The 24884-nt window shown below is 42.9% G+C and overlaps 1 long non-coding RNA gene across 1 annotated transcript, besides 1 other annotated feature; it reads right to left on the minus strand.

The window, feature by feature from the left end:
• Nucleotides 1-330: 330 nt before the first annotated feature.
• On the minus strand, nucleotides 331-23318 carry LOC105376274 (uncharacterized). Its single transcript, XR_001746581.2, has 3 exons — nucleotides 23182-23318; nucleotides 4095-4300; nucleotides 331-1906 (listed from the first exon to the last, which is right to left on the minus strand). It is a non-coding gene; the product is annotated as an uncharacterized LOC105376274 (long non-coding RNA).
• Nucleotides 23074-24048: an enhancer, noted in NCBI's record as "H3K4me1 hESC enhancer chr9:128908419-128909393 (GRCh37/hg19 assembly coordinates)". NCBI's record gives its function as "activates a minimal SCP1, AML or CMV promoter by ChIP-STARR-seq in naive H9 embryonic stem cells {active_cell/tissue: H9 hESC(naive)}" and the evidence as "EXISTENCE:reporter gene assay evidence [ECO:0000049][PMID:30033119]".

Below are 24884 nucleotides of genomic sequence, written 5' to 3' on the forward strand. Positions count from 1 at the left end.
AACAGGTCCACGCCTGCCACAAGGCTATTGGTCCTTTCCCCAGTCCATGTGTAGGACTCTTTAAGCATAAGCCAAAAGCCTCCATCACTCTGGTTTCTGGGGTCTGCTGTGGCCCCAGGCTGGTAAGTAGGGCACAGGGCTAGGTGAAGTGGAGATGGGGCTGAAGCCCTCTCCAGGAGGCTACAGGGCAGTCCTTTTGGGGACAGCCAAAGATCCAATGTATGGAGGCTAGAGGGACAGAAAACAGAGGTTAAGGAGATGTGGTCTGGAAGGTGTGCCTGATGGCTCCAGCACAGGCAGCAGGCAGTGGCTGACACACGAGCACCAAGGTTTATGGGCCCCTTGTCCCTGACAGAAGGTCCTTGGCCAGCAGCTGGGAGTTGGGGAATATAACAGACCCACGCCCACAAAGAGAGGGGATTGGCAGGAGCTGGACAGGGGTCAGAGCCCCTGAGCAGCAGGCAATTAGGATATGAAGCAGCATAACCAGTGAGTAGGTGAAGGCAGGGGCTCAGTCCTGTGGGAGGAACCCACACAGCATAAGAGAGGAGACGTCTGTGGCTTGGAGGCTGCAAGGACCCCACATGCATCCAGGCAAAATCACTCTCCAGACGTGGGCAAAAAGGAATCATCGTGGCAGCTGAGGCTGTTGGTGGGCTCCCCTCCCCAGTCATGCAGGTTCATCCATCCATTAAACACATATTTATTGAACACCTACTATGCACCAGGCTCCATTCTAAGTGCTAGAGATTCAATGGTGAAGAAATCAGACCCGGATTGCTGCCCTTGTGGAGCTGACCTTTCAGGCGAAAGAGACAAGCAATAAATGGATAAAAGAAATGGATACATGCAGATGAGTGCACTAAAGAAAAAATGAGCGATAAAGGGGACAGTTTTGTTTAGATTAGTGGGGAAGGGCTCTGGTGAGAGTGTGAGCAGAATTGGAAAGACAAAGGAGAAAAGCATGCAGGCATCTGCAGGAATGAACATTTCTGGAAGAAGAAACAGTGAGTGCAAAGTCCTGAGGTGGCGGTGTGGTGGCTTGCTCGAGAACAGTGAGGAGGGCTGGGGCTTGGAGCAAAGCGAGCTGAGCTGGGGAGGTTTTAGATAAGGTTAAAGGGGCAGAGGCCTCAGTGGGACCCCCCCCCCCCCCCGCCCCAGGAGGACTGCTGAAGGCCTGGATGACAATGAACTTAGAGTCTGGTCCAAAGGGGCTTTGTGGTGACCACCTCCCGTCACCTCTTTATCCAATCATACGATGTATATTTACTGATGTTTGGCACAGAGAGAGGTGTTGGGGGCATGGCAGAGAAGATGAGCTTACAGTCTGGGTGGCTCCCAGCTGCTCCCACTGCATCTGCAGGAGAATCAGAGGGCCCCCCTGATTCTGAAGTTGTCCCCTCTGTCTAAACAGTGGCAAAATAACATCATATATTTTCTGTGTGCACACATCCTCCTGAGTGTCTGGCACTAAACTAGGAACAGAGGCTGCAGCAGTGAATGAAACAGGTTTGGCCTCTACCCTCACGGGGAGACATTTGGCAAATAAATGATGAAATGAAGGTGTAATTGTAACTGTGAGTGCAAAGGAAGAAACAGGCTCCAAGGGAGAATGATGGGGGAGACTCCTTTTGGATTAGGACAGCAGAGAAAGCATCCCCGACTTGTGACTCATATCCAGGGGACAGTTGGGGTGAGAACATTTAGCAGAGAAGGAATGGTTTGTGCAAAGGCCCTGTGGCAAGACCTTTGTTTTGACCTGGGGCAAACAGAGTCTGGGTAAGGCCAGCTGAAGTCTTGGAGACCAAGAAGTTCAGATTTTTCCCAAGTGGATGGCAGTCATTGAGGGCTGTTGAGTAGGACAGTGATGTGTTCTTTGCGTGTTAAAAAGCTCTGTTTCCAAAGGCTGGGAAAGGGAAAAATTGTAACTTTTAGTAAGGAACCCTGGCAGACATCACCCTAATCAACTGGTCAAAGTTAATTCTGCCATCATCAGTGACGTGGTGTGGCTCTCGTATAGCCGTGCTGTGGAGTGGTGGGAAGAGCACTTCCACTCGGTGGTTCCTCCCTTGACCCATTTATGCCTAGTGTTCCATTATTGGAACGCTAAGCATGTGGGAGTTATTTACATCCTACTGCTCAAGGTCATCGCCAAGGTCTGATTGCAAAAATTCAAAAAATTGCAACCTCAGGCATAAATGAGTTAAACCCATAACCCAGTTTAACCATGAGAAACCCAGCTGACAAGCCTGCCCAGTGCTCTTCAAAACTGTCAAGGTCACAGCCCGGAGACTAAGCAGACGCCACTGGTGTCCTGAATTGGATCCAACACAGACCAAGAACAAGAATGGAAATATGAATGGAATCTAAATAAAATCTGGAGTTCAGCTGCTAGCGGCAAACCAATGTTGGTTTCTCAGTTTTACAAATATACGGTGGTAATGTAAGGTGCTGGCGATAGGGGAGGGGTATATGGGAACTCTCTGTCGTTCTCGCAACTCTTCTGTACACTTAAAATTATTTCCAAATTAAATTTTTAAAAATGAAAGCTCAATATGTTTACTTAGAGGAAAATGGGTGGCAGGACTGAAGAGATGGGAGTGGCAGCAGGAATATTTGGGCAGATGCCAGAGGGAACCGGACGGGACTGAGCAGCACTTTGTGATGAAAAGGGTGTGCGGTGAGGGAGGGGTGAGGGAGGGGAGTGTCCGGATGACCTGGATCTCTGGCTTGGTCATTGGAGATGGAGGAAGACCCGAGAGGAACAGATTTAGGGAGAGCCTTTGCCTGTATCTGCACGTGGCACCCCTGCATTTGATGACCTGGGCATGGGGCAGGGTTTTTCCAGGATCATGCCTCTTTGGGGAGAACACAGCCCCTGCCTTCTCAGACTCAGGAACTCTTCCATCCCCCAACAACCCCCCTCCCAGGGCTGATACAGAGCTCTGAGCCGGTGATGGGGTCTCTGAGGGCAGTCCCACCCCAGCCTTTCCATCCATCAGAACTGGAGCCTGGAAGTAAGTGAATTAGGGCCGGGCAGGTCAGGCTGGCTCCAGATCCTCAATCAGGTTTGCTGGGGAGGTCCCCAGGGGTCAGCCCAGCTCCCAGCTTCTGGAGAAAGGCTGCCAGAGGCCTTGGCTGGTGAGTTTCCTGGAATACTGCTGTCTGGGCAGGGGCAGGGAAGAGGGTGGCAGTGGGGTGCGAGTCACAGGCTCTGAGGGAGGGGGGCTGCTGCTGCCCAGAACTAGGGACTTCTTCCAGGACCCTCGGGGGCCCACATGCACAGGATCCCAGTGCCTGAAGCTCTGCCCACTCCTCTTCCCTGGCCTGCCTTGCTTGCTCTTTGACCTTGAATCTGGCTCTTTGTAGAAGACACTCTTTCTGTATCCCTGGGTCCCTATACCTAAGGCTGGCTCCTTCCTCTGCTTGTCAAGGGCTCTGTGTCTCTGGACAATTTTCTGCTGTGTCAGGGCTGCAGTTTATAATTTTTCCCTGAAAGAGTCAGACTTGGACTTTGTGTTAAGGAGAGAGAGAGAGAGAGAGAGAGAGAGAGAGAGAGAGAGAGAGAGAAAGTAGGAAAATCAAGGTCAAGTAAGAGACACAGTAAGAGACAGGCAGAGAGACAGAAAAAAAGAGAGAGAACCCCACATATAGAGCATAAGAGATGGGGAGGGAAGACAGAGTCAGAGAAAGATGCAAACACACAGAGTGCCAGGAAGGAGAAGCAGTGATGCCTGCAGGAGGTGTTGGGAAGCTCCGTTCCCCATTTCATTTGGGCAACCCAGTCCTGACCCCTGGTCATCACTGGGCCTGCCTGCCCTCTCCCTGGACACTGTGCTTGGGTCTAAAACCTGTCCCCCTACTCCCAACTCACCATTCAGCTGCTGGCTCTGAGCCAGCTTCAGCTGGGGGGTCCTTCACCCTCTATGAGCACGCGGCTCCACCCACCCTGAGCTCAGCAACACGGGCAAAGCCCCTCAGTTTCTCTGGGGCTCATTCATTTATTCATTCATTTTTGTGCCAAGCACAGTGCTGGGCAGTGGGGCATCAGCAGGGAATAGGGCAGAGGGGGTCTCTGCCTCCGTGGTGCTTACCATCTCTCAGGGGCCCCTGGGGTCTGGAGTGATAGAAGTGGAGGCAGCATCTCTTTGGACAGTGGCTCCCAGGAGATGTCTTGGCCACGGGGTGCCCTCTGGTCCAGGGGCCTGGGGCAGTGGAGAGAGGCCCTTATTACAATCTTATCCTTTCCAAAATCACAGTGACTTTCCAGTTTTTTTCTGATGCTGAAGCTGTGCCTTCCCTGATAAAGGAAGAAGGAGAGAGGGACCGTCAGCAGGAGGACTTGTGGCCTCTTACCTCTGACCTGTGTCTGGGGTGGGCCCCTTGTTATGGGGCATTTGATGATCTTCAGCATCCAGGTCTTACTGGACATCCAACATCCAGCACCTACCAGGTCAAAGCTCAAAACTCCAAAATGCTCACATTCTTCTCCCCACCCCCCGCCACCCCTTGGACCTGGTTTTTGCAGGGACTGGAGCTGTCCCAGGGTCTAAGGGCACATTTGACTAATGGAAGAAGAAAGAGAAGCCACAATGCAGATGTGTGGTCCTCTGACGAAGCCCTCCTGCCTCCAAAAGCTCCCCTGGTGGGGAGGAGGGCCACACACCTGAGCCTTGATCTTCTTCCCAGTGATCGTGGACATTACACCCCAGTGCAGCATGGCCGGTTAAGTACAAGTGCCCATGAGTTCACAAAGAAGGGCTGTGCCACGCAGAGGTGAGGCAGATACACCCCACCCACACAAGGAAGCCGTGAGACCTGCAGGAGGGATGGGAGCCAGCAGGAGAAGGAGGAGTGAGGCAAGAAGGGATGGAGAGAAACTTCCAGGCAGGGTTCTGGAGAAAGTGCTTGGCAGCTCTGGGCACTGAAAGAAGAGGGAGTGGTGGGGAAAGGGGTGGGAGTGGGAGTTGGTGGCTGATATGTTTTGGCTCTGTGTCCCCACCCAAATCTCATCTAGAATTATAATCCCCACACGTTGAGGGAGGGACCTGGTGAGAGGTGATTGGATCGTGAGCGCAGTTTCCCCCATGCCGTTCTCATGATAATGAGTGAGTTCTCAGGAGATCTAATGGTTTAAAAGTGTTTGGCAGTCCCCTTCTCACTCTCTTGCTGCTATGTAAGACGTGCCTTGCTTCCCCTTCTGCCATGATTGTAAGTTTCCTGAGGCCTCCCTCCCATACAGAACTATGAGTCAATTAAACCCTCCTTTCTTTATAAATTACCCAGTCTCAGGTAGTGTCTTTATAGCAGTGTGAAAACAGACTAATACAGTGGCAGAGCCAGGTTCTGAGGGCGAGGCAGGGTGTCTTTGGGTACACACTTTAGAAAGATCATTCAGCTGGTGAGTGAGAGGATTGGACAAGTCAAGATTAAAGGTAAGGAAATGGGTTTCCCTATCTGTAAAATGGGATAATAATACCTGCATTACCGAGGGGCCAGACAGAGGGGGAAACTCTGTAGAACATCTGGTGTGGTGATTCCTAAATAAAGGGTGGACAAGAGCAGGTGCTCCAGGCCGGAGTGGGGCCCTCAGAGACGCAGGTGCAGGCAGAAGGCTCCCAGCCTGCGTACCACTGTCTCATGCACCTGGAGCCCTGTGAGCTCATGCTCGTTGATTGAGCAAGTGAATAACAGCCATCTGCTGGTCACCATTCCGTCTTTTCAGTGGCTTGGCAAGGCCAGGTGAGAGACACAGGCATAATATACCTCCCTCATGGCATTGTTAGCCATTTTGAGTGAGACCAGTTCATAAAGCAAATATGCGCATGTACGTCCTCAACCATGGTAGCCGCTGTGTTTTAGGACAAGGATGAAATGGCTGCTAGGGGGCCGTGGAGGTGGCGACGAGACCTCCAGTCCTCTTCCTGGCACCTAGAACCTCTGCGTCCCAGTCATTAGAAAGGCTGTAGATCCCACCTACAACCCCCACACCCCCTACCAAGCCTCCCTTGCTGCATCTCCAAGTCCTCACCCTGGTCCAATCATTCCACGTCTCATGTGGTCCCTGCAGCATAAAGAGTCACAGCTGCAAGGGGCATGCTCTTTCCACCCTGGTCCCCTGCCCAGTTCTCTACCCCACAGCCAGAGGGAGCTTTTCCAAAGTAAACAAAGCCCATTACTGGGGGATACTCTCCCCTCAGGGCTGCAATTGCTCCCCATGGCGAAATAGAATGAAATGCCCCCGCCCTGGCAACACCACCTCCTGCCCTGCTCCCAGCCACTCTACTCCGTCTGACTCAGGGCCTCTGCACTTTCTGTTCATGCTGCTGGGAAAGTTCTGTCCCCATTGCCTTTAGTGGCTGGCTCATCAGTATCATTCCGCTAAAATGACATTTTCCCTCCAACAAAGACCTGCCCTGACCAACTCATTTGAAGTGACGACTGCTTATTGTTTTCCCAGATTTATTTTCTTAATAACTTCTGAAATTGAATGACATTTTCTTATTCATGTATTTACTGCTTCATAGGTGTCAAAATCCAGTGTGTGCTCCATGAGCAGAGGGGACTTGTCTCCCCAGCAGCAGGGAAATGTCCAGCCTGTGGTGCACATCCAATATGGAATATAGAATACAGTATATAATGAGTAAATGGACGGTGAGGGAGGGAATGGTGGCAGTGGTGGTGGTGGCAGGAGAGGGAAGGACGGAGGGGTAGGATGAAGCTGAGGAGGAGGAGAAGGTGGTGAGGACCCCAGTGAGGATGCTCTGTGCCCCTCAGAGGTCCTCATCTGTGCCTTGCTGGTCCCCTAACTTATTAATATCTCAAGGGTTGCACACTGCTCTCAGGGCCAACTCCGAGCATCGTCCAGTCCACAGAACATCCCCAGAGCCCCAGCCACAAAGTCACAAAGCCTAGCCCTCCTCCCTGTTCAATATTCAGCTTAAACTTTACACACCCTGTTTAAACATTTCAGCACCTTCTCATCCATTCTGGGCCTCACCAAAAATAAAAATATTTTGGTAGTGCAAATAAAAGCAAATATTTGATACCACTTGGCATTTTTCAGTGCATTAATTAGCAATTTGCTGGATAAATATTGCTCTGTAAACCAACAATCATTTCCCAATAATTAAAAGCCAAGTCAGATGTTATCGGAAGAGTCCCCAGTGTGTGCACGCACTCTGGGAATGCGATCCTCTCGGTTATGGCCGGAGAGGAAGGGGCCAGAAGTGGATGTGGGTGGTCCCGGCTGGTCATTCCAGCTTTGACTTTGGAGGGAGGGAGCTGGAAGAGGAAATGGGCTAGAGGGTGATGGACACCCATCCATTCTATGGGGGCCTGGGTCTCTCAATGACCCACAGATCACTGTGGCAAATATGACACTATTGGCCAAAGTTTTGTAATTGGAACGGGAGTCAGTCTACAGCAGTGGTTATGTGCATAAACTCGGGAATCCAACAGATGCAGGGGAGAGAGTCCCAGACAAGCCACTCACTGTCTGTGTGATCTTGGATAAGTCAGGTCCTTCATCTGTGAAATGGGTACAATAAAATCTCCTACTTCACAGGACTGTTCTAAAGATGAAAGGGTGGATTGCATGCGCTTAGCGCATGGTGCACGCCCAGCAAATACTGGTTGTTTGTTGTTGCTGCTGCTGTTTTCCTTCTCTGTGATGTGCCCTGGGTCTCATCTCTCCCTAACTTTAAGCTCTTACCCATTACTGCTACCAAGGGAAGGGGTGGATTAAATCTTTGCCAATCATCTCTTTGCTTAGCCTCTCTCCAAAATATCTTCCTGGTCTGTGAAGCAAAATCCTCTTGAGTGAGTGTGTACTCTCCAGCTGATGCCAGCTTGGCTCAGCGGGGAAGGAGGGCCGGGGCGGGGGAACCCAGCAGATGGGGTTCTGTAGGGCCAGGGGCTGCAAGACGGAGGCTCTCTCTCCCCTAAGCTGAGTGGTCTCAAACCTGGGGAGACCATGGTGTCTGGGGAAGATGGGAAGCCAAGCCTGTGGCTCAGGAAGCTTGACGGCCTGAGGGAGCTGAAAGAGGCATGGACGGGCCAGGCTATGGAAAACAATGGTGAATTGAGCGTTTTTGTTTAAGTGCTTCCTCCCTCCTCCTGTTAAAGTAGAGGAGGAGCGAGGACCCTTGCCACTGGGAACACAGGTGAGGATGATACTGATGCATTAGAAGCTGGAGGAAGCTGCCTGGGGGAAGGCTGGGCCTTGGTGGGACACATTGTGTGAGAGGGAGGGGCCATCAGTGGGGAGTAATTAGAGCTTCCACTGATTTCACAGCTACCACGTGCCAGGTCCCATGCTGAGAAGGTGGCACGCATCGTCTCAGAGTGAACCCTCCTCTCAGCACTGTGACCAGGTGCTGTCACTGACCAGGTTTTGCGCAAGAGGAAGCTGAGGCCCAGGAGGCCATCCCTGAGTAACTACGCACAGTTACTCAGCTGATAAGTGGCAGAGATGGGACTTGAAGCCACGGCCGTTTAACTCCTGGACCATGTTAATTGCCAGGCTAGGTGGCTTCCCTAGGCATGAGGGATCCCCTCAGAACTGCATAACCTGCCGCAGCACAGGGAGGCAGATGAGGTGGGCTGCAGGGCAGGAAGTGGGAGCCATTTCTGGAAGCACCTCATACAGTGAGACAAGGTGCCAGCCTGCGGCTTGCATTGGAGCTGGCTCAGTAGAGGGAGGTGCAACCTCAGCAGGGTCCTGGCATGGCCATGCCTGAGACAGAGGCAGGGCCACACTCCAGACACTTGACATTGCCCCAGCTTCAGAAGCCAGGTTCACTCGTGAAGCGCTGATGTTCCCATGGCATGGGCGCCTTAGCATCTCACCTTCTTACTTCCCTTAGACATTGAAACTCACAAAGAGCAAGAACTCCAATGTTTTCCTCCTCTCCTACTCCCATCATCTGGGCCTGGAAGATTGGAACAGGGCTCCCATCTCAACCCTCAGGGATGGACAAATATAGAATAAGAGAAGGGAGGAAAGCCATGGGCCCTGTGAAAAGACTCAGCAGTTCTCATAAAGGAATCAACACAAATGTTTCCCTTGAGACAAACTTCCTACCAGAATCAACAGAAATCTTTAGAAAAATCTCCAATTTGTGTGCCCATTAAGATTCGAGGGGGTATTTATTGTATACCTGAAAAAGGCATCCTCTGAGATTGAAAAAGATGATTTTCAGCTGAAAAGTGCAACTGTTACATTTCAGAAGGCAATGGAAGCAGGAAATAACAGATTGAAGACGCAGAAAAATGGAGTGGAGTCCTTTAAAAGATGGGTACCAAGAAACCCCCCATAATTCATAAGAAAAGAATAAAAGATGAATGTGCTTAGTGAAAAGATAACCTCGAGGAAAGATCCAAGAAATAAAATAGCCAAAGGAATCATTAAATCAAATTGCTCTTTGAACATTAGCTGAAGTTAATGAAGAGACCTATGGCCAGGTGAAACTGAATTTCAAGGATTAAGGGAGAAAATCCTGTAAGTATTCAGACAGGAAAAAAAAACTGTTGGCAATGGTATTCATTATAGAATAATTTGGCTATGTGTGCAGAGGGCCAAAATAACAATGGCTAAAACAATAGAAAAATATTTCTGTGTCATGTAATAGTCAAAAGCATGTGATTCAAAGTTTGCTCTGCTCCATGAAGTTTCCCAGGGCTCTGGGAAAATACTGAGAGCATAGACTCCTTCTAGCTTGTTGCTATGCCAGTCTTAGATGTTAGATTTGTTTGCAAAGATATTTGTTATAAGCAGCAAAATGGAGTAATAATAAAAGAAGAGCACATCCCTTTCCCCTTTCAAATCCCCACCCAGAGTTGCCACATATCACCATCCACATCCCATTGGTCAGAACTTAGTCACATGACCACCCCTAGCTGCAAGGGAGGCTGGGAAACATTTTTATTCTGAGAAGCTATGTGCCAAGCTCAAAATTAAGGTTCTGTTATTTTAGAGAGAAGAAGAGAATGCTTACTGGAAAACTCTTACCCAATGCACTAAAACTTGAAATGAAAGATGAAATGAGAAAAAAGCAAAAACAAAAAAAGTCAACAATTCTCTACCACTAGAAATTTCTTAAATTATCTATAAACTTGTACTTGGGTCAAAGAGGAAATATAAATAGAAACTGCAGGAAATCTAGAAGATAAAGATAGAAAACTACATATCAGAACCTATGAGAAATAAAGTAATGCTCAGAGGAAAAGCCTTAAATGTTATCAATAAACAACAAAGATGAAAACAAGAAAATTAAACATCTGATCTGAGAAGTTAGACAAAGAACAACAAAACAGGACAGAAGCAAGAAATTGATAAAGATAATAGAAGAAATTATGAGTTAATAAGCAGAAAAATAGAACTAATGACATGAGGAAAACAATAAAATAGATAAACTGCAAGATAACCTAATAAAGAAAATGGACAAGGAAGCCCAAATACACAAAATAGGAAATTATAAAAGAAAAATAACCACAGAAAGAGAAGAAAGTGAAGAATCATGAAACTGCTTTGCTTGACTTTATGCAAATACATTAAAAAAACATAAAATAATTTGACATTTTTTTTTCAAAGTGTGAATGACCAAACCTGATTTCAAAAGGAGGAAAAATCTACTCATTTCCATATGGAAATTGTTCAAGTAGCTGAAGAGCTCTCTCCCCAAAAATACCAGGCCCAGATTATCTCACAGGGAAATTCTACCAAGCCTCTAATAAGCAGATAATTACAATATTATTTAAACTATCAGAGCTTTAAAAAGGGGGGAAATATTTTTACTTATTTCAATAAAGCAAATGGAACATTGACACCCAAATGCAAGAAAGATTGCACAAAAAAGAGAAACCACAGTCACTTATGAAAAACAATGCAAATAATCCTAAATAAAGCTGAGGTAAACTAGATCTACAGCACATTAAAAGAAAAATACATTATGACCAAATGATGTTTATTTCGTGAATGTACAAATTATGTAATATTAGGGAACATATAATACAATTTATTATAGTAATAGATGTAGGGAGAAAACTTACATTAACATCTTCATAGACACCAAAAAGCCATTGACAAAATTCTGACGTTCATTTTTGATATAAACATTTAATAAAATAGGGATGGGTGGATTTTTCCCTAATAAGATGGAGCACATCTGTCTCTGGACAAAAGTCAGTATCATGTTTAATGAGAAGGCACCAGAAGTATCCCTGCTAAAGTTTCCTCACTGAAATCAGGAGCAAGACAAGAATATCTGCTATGACACTGTTGTTAAACATTGAGCTGAAGGTACTTGCCAAAAGAAAGAAATTAAAGTGATAAAAAATTAGAAATGGAACTCAAACAACATTATTTGCAGGCAATATGGTCATATATACAGAAAACACAAGAGAATCACATTTAAAACTACTATAAACAGCAGGAGAATTCAACAAGATAGTAGTGGGCAAATTGATATGTGAATGCGAACAGTTCTTGTGTACAAAAGCAAGCAGTTAGAAGGTAGAGCGGAATAAAATACCTCATTTATCATAGCAGAAAAAATTCAGAAATAAATTTATCAGAAAATTTGCATAACTTGTAAGAAAAAATTTAGAACACTTCTGAAACTTCTAAAGAAGGTTTGAACAAATGGGAATACATTCAGTGTTCTGGGGTAGGAAGACGTGCTGTCATGAAGGGTAATTTCTCCCCAAGTTAATTGATAAATTTAATGTAATTCCAATGAAAGTGTCTATATGCTTTTTTTTAAAGAAAAACTAGACAAATTGATTCTAAAATCTACATGAAATACATAAAAATAAGAGTAACCAGAAATTACAAAAAAAAATTGCCATGAGAGATACTAACCCTATAGTCATTCAAGTCTAATAGGTACCAGATAAGAGACAGGCCAGTAGATGAGAAAACAAAGCCAAGATTTAGAGCCATATATGTGCAGAACTTTAGTATAAGTTAAAAGTGCCACCTTAAGTAGAAATGTGTGGCAGAGAAATGTTCGATATTATAATGATTAAACCAGTATAACTATTTAATTTGTACCAGAGTATAAACCAGAGCAATAGTGGGGGGCATCATCAAACTTCTCACAGTATTTCACTTCTGCAATAGATAGCCAATATATAAAAACATGAGTGATCCAATTAATATTATCTATAAGCTTATTTTTGGTAACTATATATTTGAGGTTTTTGCCTCAACAAGAAATGTACATTGCTTTCAGATGTCCATGAAATATTTTTAAAATTGATTGTTAACTAAGCCAGAAAGAAGACACACAATACTTCCACCAAATGAAGAAATTATACAGGCCACATTTTCCTGACCTCAGTGCAATGAAACTAGAAATTAATTACAAAGAGCGTAAGACAAACATCTTTGTGAAAATGAAAAATCACTCTGCTAAACAATTATTTTGTGAGACAGGAAACCACACGGCAGTTGCAGAATATTTAGAAAAAAGACAATGACAAAATGACACATTAACACGCAGGGGATGCAGCTATTCCTGTACTCATAGGATAATTCACAGCTTTAATTGCTTTTATTATTAAGTGAGCAAGAATGAAAATAAATGAGCTAAGTATCTAATGCAAGAAATTAAAAAAAAAAAGAGCAAAATCGAAAACAGAAGAAAGAAATTAATGAAGATAATAGCTACTTTAGTCCATGTGTATGGGTTCAAGTTGACAAGGGGTGGACTTGTGATGGTTAATACAGAATGTCAACTTGATTGGATTGAAGGATACAAACCATTGATCCTGGGTGTGTCTGTGAGGGTGTTGTCAAAGGAGATTAACATTTGAGTCAGGGGGCTGGGAAAGGCAGACCCACCCTTAATCTGGGTGGGTCTAATCAGCTGCCAGAGTGGCTAGAATCTAAGCAGGCAGAAAAATGTGAAAAGAGAGACTGGCCTAGCCTCCCAAACTACGTCTTTCTCCCGTGCTGGATGCTTCCTGCCCTCAAACATAGGACTCCAAGTTTTTCAGTTTTGGAACTCCGACTGGCTCCCCTTGCTCCTCAGCCTGCAGACAGCCTATTGTGGGACCTTGTGATAGTGTAAGTTAATACTTAATAAACTCATATATATATATATATTCCATTAGTTCTATCCCTCTAGAGAATCTTGACTAATACAGTCCATCTTGTGCTGCTGTAACAGAATACCTGAGACCTGGGTAATTTATAAAGGACAGAGATTTATTTCTTACAGTTCTAGAGGCTGGCAAGTCTAAGGCTGGTGAGGGCATTCTTGCTGGTCATCCCATGGCAGAAGGTGGAAGGGCAAGAAAGCACATGAGAGAAAGAGAAGGGAAGGAAACCAAACTCATCCTTTTATCAGGAACCCTCTCCGGTGATAACTAAACTGCTGTCATGACAATGGCATTAGCTAATCACCTCTCAAAGGTCCCACCTTCTCCTCACTGGGGATTAAGTGGGGGTCACATTCAAACCATTGCAATATCTGAAATTAATGATACGGAAAATTTTAAAAGCAGATGTGATTTAAAACCCAAATGCTACTTCTGTAGAATCATCTATAAAAGAAAACAGTTTTCTGGTAAGATGAATCAAGAAGAATATAAAAAAGAAGGTAGTATCATAAATGAGAAAGCAGTTGAGACCATAGATGAAGAGGTTATTTTCAAATTATTAAAGAATATTACATGAATAAATTTGAAAATCTCAAAATGAAGAATTTCCTAGGAAAATATAAAGTTATAAAACAGAAAATGTAAATATACAAATAATAACTAAGATAGAAGTTTAGAATATGGATAAAAAATCACTTGGCCCAATGCATCTTTCAGAGCCAAGCAAAAAGATATTTTCTGAACCATTTAATTTGTACCAGAGTATAAAAGAGACAGAAAGCCTCCCTATTTTTTTATGGGTGTGTATGAGTTCCTTAGATATTCTGGATAGTAATCAGTGTATGAATTCCATGAAAATCTCTGTTGGGGTTTTGAGGGGAATTATATTGAACTTATTTAGGGAGAATTGTATGATGTTGAGCTTCTCCAGTTATGAAATGATACATCTTTTTATTTATGTAGGGTGTTTTGAGTCTTTCAACAATCTTTGTAACTTTCCCTATAATTTTTAAAAATGTATTTTAGAGATAGGGTCTTGCTCTGTCATCCAGGCTGGAGTGCAGTGGTGTGATTACAGCTCATCACAGCCTTGAACTTCTGGACTCAAGGGATTCTCCCACCTCAGCCTCCTATAACTGGGACTAGGGACATGTGCCACCATGCCTGGTTCCTATATAATTCAAACACAGCTCTTGTTAGATTTATTCTTAGGTACCTTATAGGTTTTGTTTCAATAATGTTTTTTAAATTAAAAATTTGGTGGCCAGTAGATACATGAAAAGATGTTCAATATCGCTAATCATTAGAGAAATTGAAACCACAATGAGACAACACTTCACACCCATTAGGATAGCTACTATCAAAAGGACAGAAAGTAGCAAGCACTGACAAGGATGTGGGGAACATTGAACCCTTGTGCCCCGTTGGTGGGAATGTAAAATGGTGTAGCCACTATGGAAAACAGTATGGTGGATACTCAAAAAAGTAACAGAATTATCATATAATCCAGCAAACCCACTTCTGAGTTCATATGCAAAAGAACTGAAAACAGGATCTTGAAGAGTTATTTGCCTACCTATGTTCATAGTAGCACTACATGAAATTGCCAAGAGGGGTAAGCCACTTAAATGTTTGACAGATGAATGAATAAACAGAATGTGGCGTGTACATACAGTGGAATATCAGTCAGTCTTAAAAAGGAAGAAAATTCGGACAAACGCCACAACATAAATGAACCTTGAGGACATTACGCTAAGTAAAACAAGTCATTCACGCAAAGACAAATACTGTATGATTCTACTTAAATGAAGTATCAAAAGTCAAATTTGCAAAGACAGAAAGTAGAATGGTGGTTCCCAGAGGTTGGGAGAAGGGGGAAATGGGGAACATGTTTAATGAGTATAGAGTTTCAGTTTTGCAAGATGAAAAAGTTCTGGCGATCTATTGCACAGTAATGTGAATGTACTTAAGATAGTGAACTGTACATTTAAAAAGGGCTCAGGTGGTTCATTTTATATGTTTTTGCCACAATTAAAAAATTAATGATAGAAAAAATGTGAACTGTTTTTACTGGAACATAAAATTAAATATAGTTAAGTTCACTTTAGTATATTGGTCTTATATCAAGCAAACTTGCTCAAGCTCTTCTGTATAGTCTAATGGTTTGTGTGATGATTTTGTTGGATTTTTTATGTAGACAAGCATACCATCTGCACATAATAAAATTTGTGTTTTTTTCAATTTTTATATTTTTATATTTCAATTTTTATATTTTATATTTCTTTTTCTTGTCTTATCGTGTGGTCCACAACTTCTACTACACTGTTAAATAAAGTAGTTATAAAGGATATCTTTGTCTTACTTCTGATTTTAAAGAGAATGCTTCTAACAATTTTGCCATCAAATAGAATGCTTGCTATAAGTTTTTCATAGATTCTCTATATCTTCTCTATTCCTTTTTTGTTAAGAGTATTCCCTGCCATGGATGAATGTTGAACTTTATCACATGCTTTTCTAGATATATTGAAATAGCTTTATGTTTTTTCTTTGCTAATTTGTTAATGAAGTGAATTCCATAATTTCTTTACATTCAGTTATCTTTGTATTCCTTGCATAAATCCAACTTCACATTTTTTAATAATACTGGAGTTTGTTTATTAATATTTCATCCATGATTTTTGCTTTTATGTTTATGAGATAAGTTCTATTTTCCTTTATCTTACTGTCTTTGTCTGATTTTTGAATGAAGGTATTACCAGACTCCTAGAAAAAGTTGGGAAACACGACCTCTTCTTCTATTCTTTGAGATAATTTAAGACTTATATAATGATTAGTTTTATGTGTTAACTTGACTGGGCCATGGGTGCCAAGATATTTGGTCAAACATTATTCTGGGTGGGTTTGTGGGAGTGTTTTGGATGAGATTAACATTTGAATTACTAGACTGAGTGAAGCAGATTGCCCTCCCTAATGTGGGTGGCCCTCATCCAACCAGCTGAATGGCCAAATAGAACAAAAAGGCTGACTCTCCCACAAATAAGAGGGCACACTCCCTGCCCGAACTGCCTGGAGATGGGACATCAATTTTTTCCTGCCTTTGGTCTCTGATGGAAACATTGATTCTTCCTGGGTCTTAAGTTGCTGGCATTCAGACTGAAACTACACTAGCAGTTCTCCTGTGTCTCCTCCAGCTTGGTGACTTCAGATCTTGGGACTTGTCAGCCTCCATAATTTCATGAGCCAATTATTTATAACAAATCTCTCAATCTGTGTCTCCATCTCTGGCATGCTCTCTCTCCCTCTCTCTCTTTCTCTCTCTCTCTCCCTTCCCCCTCTCTCTGTGTGTGTATGAGACAGAGAGAGAGAGAGAGAATATATACACACACATTCTATTGGTTCAGTTTATCTGGAGAACCCTGAGTGGTGCAACTGGGATTATCTGTTAATTAAATATTTGGTCAAAGTTGACTCCGGGCCTGGTGGGGTTTCTTTTGCATGGTAGATAGGTTAGATTTTACATTAATGATTCAATTTTTTGGTGATTACAGGTTTTTTCTGAGTTTTTAGTTCTTCCTGAGACAGTTTTGATACATCACATTTTCCAAGCAAACTGGCCATTTTCAATTTTATTGGCATAAAGTTGTTCAAAATGTTCTTTTGTGATTTTAAAAATTACTTTTTGCTGTATTTCTTTCATTTGTCAGTTCCTAATATCATTCATTTGTGCTTTCTCTTTTTCTTAACTAACCTTTGGTTTTGCTGATTTTATTATTGTTTGGTTTTAAGTTTAATTATTTTCTGCTCTTATATTTATCGTTTTCTTCATTTTTCTTTCGTTGGGTTACTCTGTTGTTCTTTTTCTAATTTCTTGAGTTGGGTGCATAGCTTATTATTTTTTAATCTCTTTTCTTGTCGAATGTAAATGCCCTCCGAGTACTACTTTAGCTGCATCCCATACATTTTGATATGTACTATTTGTATTATCCATAATTATTCTTTCTTTGACCCATAAATTATTTACAACTATGCTGTAACATAGGGTTTAACAGCTTATCTTTTATTAATTCTAATTTTATTGTATTATGGTCAGAAGAAATGATCTGTGTGCTAACAGTTCTTGGAAATTTGTTGAGATTTGCTTTCTGACCTTGTATCCATCAGTTTTTGCAAACATTTCGTATGTACTCGAAATATAGAATGGGTTTTCTATAATTGTTGCAGGATTCTATGTTTGTTCATTATATCAAGTGTATTGTCTTATTTAAATCTTCTATACTCTTGCCAAATTTTTGTTTCCTTGATCTATAAATTATTGATTAATTTTATTTAAAATTTTCCACTATGGTAATGGATTTGTCAATTTTAAAAATAATCTAGTACATTTTTGTTTCATATATTTTGTGAGACTGGCGTTAGGTGCGTACATAGTAATATAACACAACTGCTATATATTATAAGTGAGATGTTCCTTTTATCATTGTCATTTATGATGTGTCTCTAATGATAATTTTGCCTTAGAGTCTGTTTTTTCCCTCAACTTTTATTTGGCTAGTATTTTCTTTGTATAACTTTTCTTTTTTACTTTCTATATTTTTGTCCTCAAATAACTGGATTTTTATTTTTAAAATTCAGTCTGAACATCTGATTTTAAATGCATAAAGTTTAGTCCATTTATATTTATTGTAAGCTGATATGCCTATATTTAGTCTATTACACTACTTTGCACTTTCTTGTTTACCATAGTTTTCATGTGCTTCATTTCTTTTCTTCTTTTGAAGTAGTTGAATTTATACTCCCTTTCATTCCTCTGCGTTTCATTTCTAGTCTTATAGTGCTTACCTTTAAGATTTTTTTGACTAAACCTTTAATTTTAGAATAATTTCAGATTTACAGAAAAATTATGACAGAATAGAGGTTCTCAGAAACCCCACACTGTTTTCTCTATTTTTCTCATCTTAGGTTAGTATAATTTACTTGTCACAATTAATGAGCCAATATTGATCCATTGTTATTTTTACCTAAAATACATTTTTATTCATATGTCCTTAAAATTTATGTAATTTTTTTCTGTTCCAGGATCCCACTCAGGATACCATTTATGTTTCCTTAGGCGCCTCTTTACTGTGATAGTTTCTCATTTTTTTTTTCATTTTTGATGGCAGTTTTGAGGGGTAAAGGTCAATTGTTTTGTAGAATATCCCTCAGTTGGGTTTTTTCATGATTAAACTGAAGTTATGGATTTTGAAGGGGAAACCACAGAGGTAATATGTCATTTTTGCATCACGTCATATCCAGGGTAAATACTATCAACATGACAACTCTGTTGATGTTGATCATCTGTATGAAGGAATTTTGTCATCTTGCTCCCTGTGAAGTTACTCCTTTCCCCCCTTTTTCATACTCTGCTTTTTGGAAGGAAGTTTCTACATGCACGCCACATTTAAGGCATGGGGAGTCACACTTCACCTCCTTGAGGGCAGATTATTTACACAAATTATTTGGAATTCTTCTGCATGGGAGATTTATCTCTTTTCTCTCATTTGTTTATTTAATTTAATTTAATTTTTAATTTTTGTGGGTACATAGTAGGTCTATATAGTTATGGGTTATAGCAGACATTTTAATACAGGCATGCAATGCGAAATAGTCACACCAGGGTAGATAAAGTATCTATCACCCCAAGCATCCCAATTTGTTTATTAATTCAATTATTTATTCGTATCAGAATGGGCTTATGAATATCTTAAACTTTGGGTTATAATCCACTACTCCTTTATTTATTTTGTTGCTTAAATTGTTTCAACTTTCTGGCACTACAAGATGCTCAGATTCATTTTATATATTTCTACCCCTACTACTAGAATCCGTCATTTCTCTGAGAAGCCTCTTTTATTGGAGAACTGCATGTATTAAAAACTTACATTAAAAATTGTAACATTAATACTTGACTTAACAAATATTAATGTTAACCAATAATAACGACCCTCCTCCTTTAAAACTATAAACATGTACAATTCAGAATACCCTTTTTTGGCTTACATGGTATTCTTACATGGTGTTTTAGTCCTATCTTATTTTTATACCTCCAAAATCCATCATTATTATTGACCTATACAGCCCAAATCTTATTTTAACATTTCTTTCTTCTCCATCGCTCTTGTATCTCCCTCTTTCCTTCTGTGTTCAATTTCATTCTACTTGAAATAAACCCTGTAGTAGTTCTTTCAGGAGCAGTCTGAGAATTACATTTGTTTCTCCCTTATCATTGAGCGATAGTTTAGCTAGATGAGATTCTAAGTTGACAGTCATTCTTCTCTTATCACTTTGAAAATATCATTCCATTGTCTTCTGGCTTTTCTTGTTGCCAGAAGTCTGCTGTCAGTCCAATTTCCATTCTCTATTGATCTTTCTTTTCTCGCTTATTATTTTTAAAGTTCTTTGCTTTGTTTGGTTGTCCTACAATTTCATTATGGAGCATCAAGATATGAATTTATTTTTAGTTATTCTTTTCAGGATGCACTGGGCTTCTTAAGTTGTGAATATTTTTAAAACGTATTATTATTTTAAATTGTGATAAAAATACACATAATGTAAAATTCACCCTCTTAACCATTTCTAAGTGTACAGCTCAGGGGCATTAAGTACATTCACACTGTTGTATAATCATCCCTACCACTGAAGAACTCTTTTCCAGAACTCTTTTCATCTTACAAAACTGAAACTCTGTACCTATTAAACAAAAACTCCCGATTCCCTTTCCCGACACCCCTGAAAATCACTATTTATTTTCTGTCTTTATGAATTGAACTACTTTTGATGCCTCATATAAGTGGAATCATACAGTAATTATCTTTTTTTTGTGTGACTGGCTTATTTTACTTACTGTAATGTCCCAAGATTCACCCATGTTGTTCCATGTGTCATCATTTCCTTCCTATTTAAGGCTTTGAAAAGCTTTTCTTTTTAAAGCTGAACAATATTCCATTCTATATAAATGCCGCATTTTGTTTATTCATTCATTCGGTGATGCACATTTGGTTTGCTTCCACCTCTTGACCGTTGTGAATAATGCTGCTATGAAGATGGGTGTGCAGACCAGGCGCGGTGGCTCACGCCTGTAATCCCAGCACTTTGGGAGGCGGAGACGGGCGGATCACTTGAGCCCAGGAGTTCAACACCAGCCTGAGCAAAATGGCAAAACCCTGTATCTATCAAAAATACAAAATTTAGCCAGGCGTGGTGGCGCACGCCTGTAATCCCAGCTACTTGGGATGCTGAGGCAGGAGGATTGCTTAATCCTGGGAGGTGGAGGTTGCAGTAGCCAAGGTTGCACCACCAGACTCCAGCCTGGACGACAGAGCGAGACCCTATCTCAAATTAAAAAAAAAAAAAGAGTATGCAAATATCTCTTGGAGATCCTGTTTTCAGTTCTTTTGGACATGTACTCAAAAGTGAGATTACTGAATCATATGGTAGTTCTATGAATTTTCTGAAGAACAGCATACTGTTTTCCATAGCAGCTAAACCTCCACATCCTTGTCAGTGTTTGTTAATTAATTAATTTTTTTTTTTTTTTGAGACAGAGTCTCACTCTGTCGCCCAGGCTGGAGTGAAGTCATGTGATCCCCAGCTCACTGCAACCTCTGTCTCCCAGGTTCAAGCGATTCTCCTGCCTCAGCCTCCCAAGTAGCTGGGACTACAGGTGCCCGCCACCATGCCCGGCTAATTTCTGTATTTTTTTTTTTTTTTTTTTTTTTTTGTAGAGACAGGGGTTTCACCATGTTGATTAGGCTGGTCTTGAACTCCTGGCCTGAAGTGATCCACCCCTCTAGGCCACCCAAAGTGCTGGGATTACAGGCATGAGCCACTGCGCCCCGCCAGTTTCTGTATTTTGATAGTAGCCATCATAATGGGTGTGAAGCAGCATCTCATTGTGGTTTTGATTTGCATTTCCCTAACCATGAGTGAATTGTGTGTTTATTGGTGAATTATGACTATTTTAAATCAATCTGGATCATTCTTATTTTCTCCTTGAATGTTGTTTCTCTGATTCTCTGTATTTTCTCTCTTCTCTTCCTATATCAAAAGATAGGTTTTTTCCCAAGTCTACCCCTCACTGAGAACACAAGCCACAGGGATGTCAAGTCTAGCTTTTCATCTAACTCACACTCAAAGCCTTGTCTCCTGTGCCTATGTGGGTATAAATATCCTCTCTCTCCTTTCCCTGGACAGCTGCAGTGACAGGTCATGTGCTTATCTCTTTGGTTTTCAGTTCCTACTTTATTTCTTGGTCCTGGAAATTTTCTCTACTTTTCTGTAGGCTCAAGTATTTGTTATACTGTATTGGGCATTTCTAGGCGTTTGTGGCAGGAAGATTTGGGGGATATCTCATCCACACTATTTTCAGAACTAGAAGCCTTTCCAACTCATTTACAAAACTAAATAAACCTGACAAAAGATAGCACAAAAAAAAGAAGGCTGCAGGCTAATCTCATTTATGAATATAGATGCAAATATCTTAAATAAAATATTAGCAAATTGAATCTAGCAATATACTAAATGGATATTCCACAATGACCAGGTAGGGTGTATTATTGGAAGGCAAGGACAGTTCTATTTTAGGAACTCTATTAATATAATTCATCATATTAATAGGCCAAGAGGGAAAAACCAGGGCTGATAAAAAGGCACTTGTTAACACTCAGCATCCATTTTGCAGGAAAACCTCGCTTGGCAAAATAGAAATAGCAGGATTCTTCTTTAGCCTGATAAGAAAGGCTTACAGAAACATCCCGTCCTCGAAGAAGAAGGCAGCACCTCTTGAGAGCCTCTGCATTGAGGGTCTCCTCCACGCCTGCCTGGCCCGTCTCCTCTGTCCCGAGTTGAGAGCAAATCCATGTGTTCCTACTTCTCTGGCTCAGTTGGAGCCAAACATTCCACTTAGCCCGAGGAGCCACAGATGGATATTTTGCTTTCCAAACACACACTTTGGACCCAGACGGCCTAGTGTGGCTGTGTTATGTTGGACAAGCGGCCACCACTTGCTGAGCTTCTCTGAACCCCAATTTTCTCATTTGTGAAATGAGGCTAAGATTCTGTATTCCCTGGGGCCATGAAAGTGAAGTCCCCGGCACACAGTAAAGGCTCAGAGAATGTTAATCACTTAGCACTTCCCTCCTTCCCCATCTCTGCTTCTGTCTCTTCTCATCTTGCATGGGTTTCCCTTCCTTTTTCATGCCTCCATGACCCCAGGCCTGGCCAGCTCAGTCTCCTTACCGAAGTAAGCCCAGTCGGTGGGGAAATTTGGGGACTCCAGAGCCCTGAGTTAGCATTCAAAGACATTAAGGTAGCTGCATGGGGCCTGACTGGGGGCTGGCCTGGGAGGCTCTCCCCAGGGCTTCCTGCCCCCAAGAGAGCCTGGTCAGTGAGTCCTGGAGGCCAGGAGGTCCATCTGGGCACCTGGTCTCATTGTGGGAGGTTTCTGTGCTTTGGTGGAATAAGGGCGGTTCCTGGTGGGCAGACCCAAGTTTAAGAACAGGCTGTGCGGCCGGGCACGGTGGCTCACGCCTGTAGTCCCAGCACTTTGGGAGGACGAGGCGGGTGGATCAAGAGGTCAGGAAATCGAGATCATCCTGGCCAACATGGTGAGACCCCATCTCTACTAAAAATACAAAAATTAGCTGGGTGTGGCGGCGCCTGCCTGTACTCCCTCTACTCAGGAGGCTAAGGCAGGAGAATTGCTGGAACCAGGGAGTTGGAGGTTGCAGTGAGCCAAGATCGTGCCCTGCACTCCAGCCTGGTGACAGAGCAAGATTCCGTCAAAAAAAAAAAAAACAAAAAAAAAACAATATGCTGTGCTCCTCTAGGTGTGCCAGCCTCTTGCCAACTTCTTACAGGTTTCCTCCCTCTGGGTTAAAGTCTGGGATCACAGTCCCACAGCTTCTCAGACTAAGACCAAAGCCAGACCCTGGACTCCAGCCTCAGCCTCAGGTCCCTGTACCTCACCATCTCTTCCATGGGTCCCCGAAGTTCCGGCATTCTGCTTTCTTCACCATCCCCAAATTTAGCTCCTACCTCCACCACCTCCATGCTTCCACCTGCGCTCTGCCACTTCTCTCCTCGCACTCGGTATCCCGTGACTCATGAGAGTGGGCATTTGGCCCTTTCCCTGCTGGGACACCACCAAGATCCCCTGGCTCAGTCGGTGTACTAAACACTAACCACACCTTTTGTTTCAAAATAGCTTGGGGACTTGCCGCCACTAGAGGGAGAGGGACTGCCCTTCCCCGGGGAGAGATTAGAGAATCCTTAGAGACAGCAAACAACCGGCCCCAGAGTGAGCCCCTTTCAAATGCAGACCAGCCAATCCAGAGCCATCTACCCACCCACCTCCTTTGTGGGGCTCTGACACTCCGGAGGCACTATCCACCTGCCCTAATCACTCCGGGGCCCGCTTCCCGACCCTGGGGACAGCGCCTACCCCCAGAGCCTGCTGATGTTACTCACGCTAGTCAGTGCTGAGCCTGCTCACCCTCTCTTTCCTGTGGAAACCACCACAAGGGCTCTTAAACACATTTTCCCTGCCCTCCCCTCAACTCTGCTTCCAAACTGACAGGTGCTTCCTGGTATGACACGTCCATGGCATTGGCGTGGCTTCTCTCTAGGGATCTATGAGTATAACAAACCATCTTTTCAAGGTAATCACGTTCTGATCTGTTAGCCTCACCATCCCTGAATAGCAATAAAACCGATTACATTTGCAAACAGACAGGATAGGCTCAGTTATGCTGAGGTTACAAACCGGTCTTGGTGGCTTAACACACAAAGCTTACTGTTGGTCTAGGTGACTCTCCAGGACAAAGTCCTCCACACAGTGACTCAGTGATCCAGGCTGGAGGAGGCTCCACATTCCTGTAGTGGCAGCTTTGGGAACACACCTCCCTGGTTGCCTTGGAGAGTATGAAAGTACTGGAGGATTTAGGACCAGCACTTCACTGCTTTGGCCCCAAAATGACACATACCACCAATGCTCACACCTCATTGGGAAGAACAAGTCTCCTCACCTCAACCAACAGCAAGTTGACTGGGAGGCGTGACTCCCCAGAGTGCTCAGAAGGAGAAGAAAATGGGAGAGGGAGATGGGTGCACACTCAATATCTCTGTCTCACTCTCTCTTCTCTGCTACTGGGTCAGGGAAAGGAACTCTTCCCCAGCGTAGGATGTTGCCCTCTTGGGCTCACCAGGAGGTTGCACTGGCTGGGAGGCGGTCTGTCCTCTACTGGCATCGACATAGTGGGGGCTGGCTGCAGCAGGAAATCTGCATTTGCCCAAGGAAACCCTCATTTTGTCATCTCCCCCGGACAAAGCAGACTAGCTCTAGGGTGTCTCCTCTAGAGCTTTGAAAAAATTAAAAAATTAAAAGACAGGGAGAGGGAGACAAACAAACAATTCTGATCCCAACCGGGCAGAGACACAAATAGCGCCTTTTAATTATATAATCTGCTTTTGATGAATTTATTTCTGACAGTTTTATAGGTTGACGAGAGAGTGCATTTTAGATGCAAAAAAAACCCATTATTCATTCCAGGCTCTTTGAGCATAAAAATTGTCAAATGATTTTAATACAGTTTTAAGTTTTATGTTTATTGTCAAGGGGGAAAAAAAGTCCACAGCAATTACCGAGTCACATGCCCCTTCAATCTTTATGTTTCTGACAGCAAGAACAATAAAATATGTTTTTGCCCAAACCTTTTACCGCTCAGATTGACGTGGCTTCA

This window comes from Homo sapiens, chromosome 9 (assembly GCF_000001405.40).
Source record: "Homo sapiens chromosome 9, GRCh38.p14 Primary Assembly".
Taxonomy (NCBI): domain Eukaryota; kingdom Metazoa; phylum Chordata; class Mammalia; order Primates; family Hominidae; genus Homo; species Homo sapiens.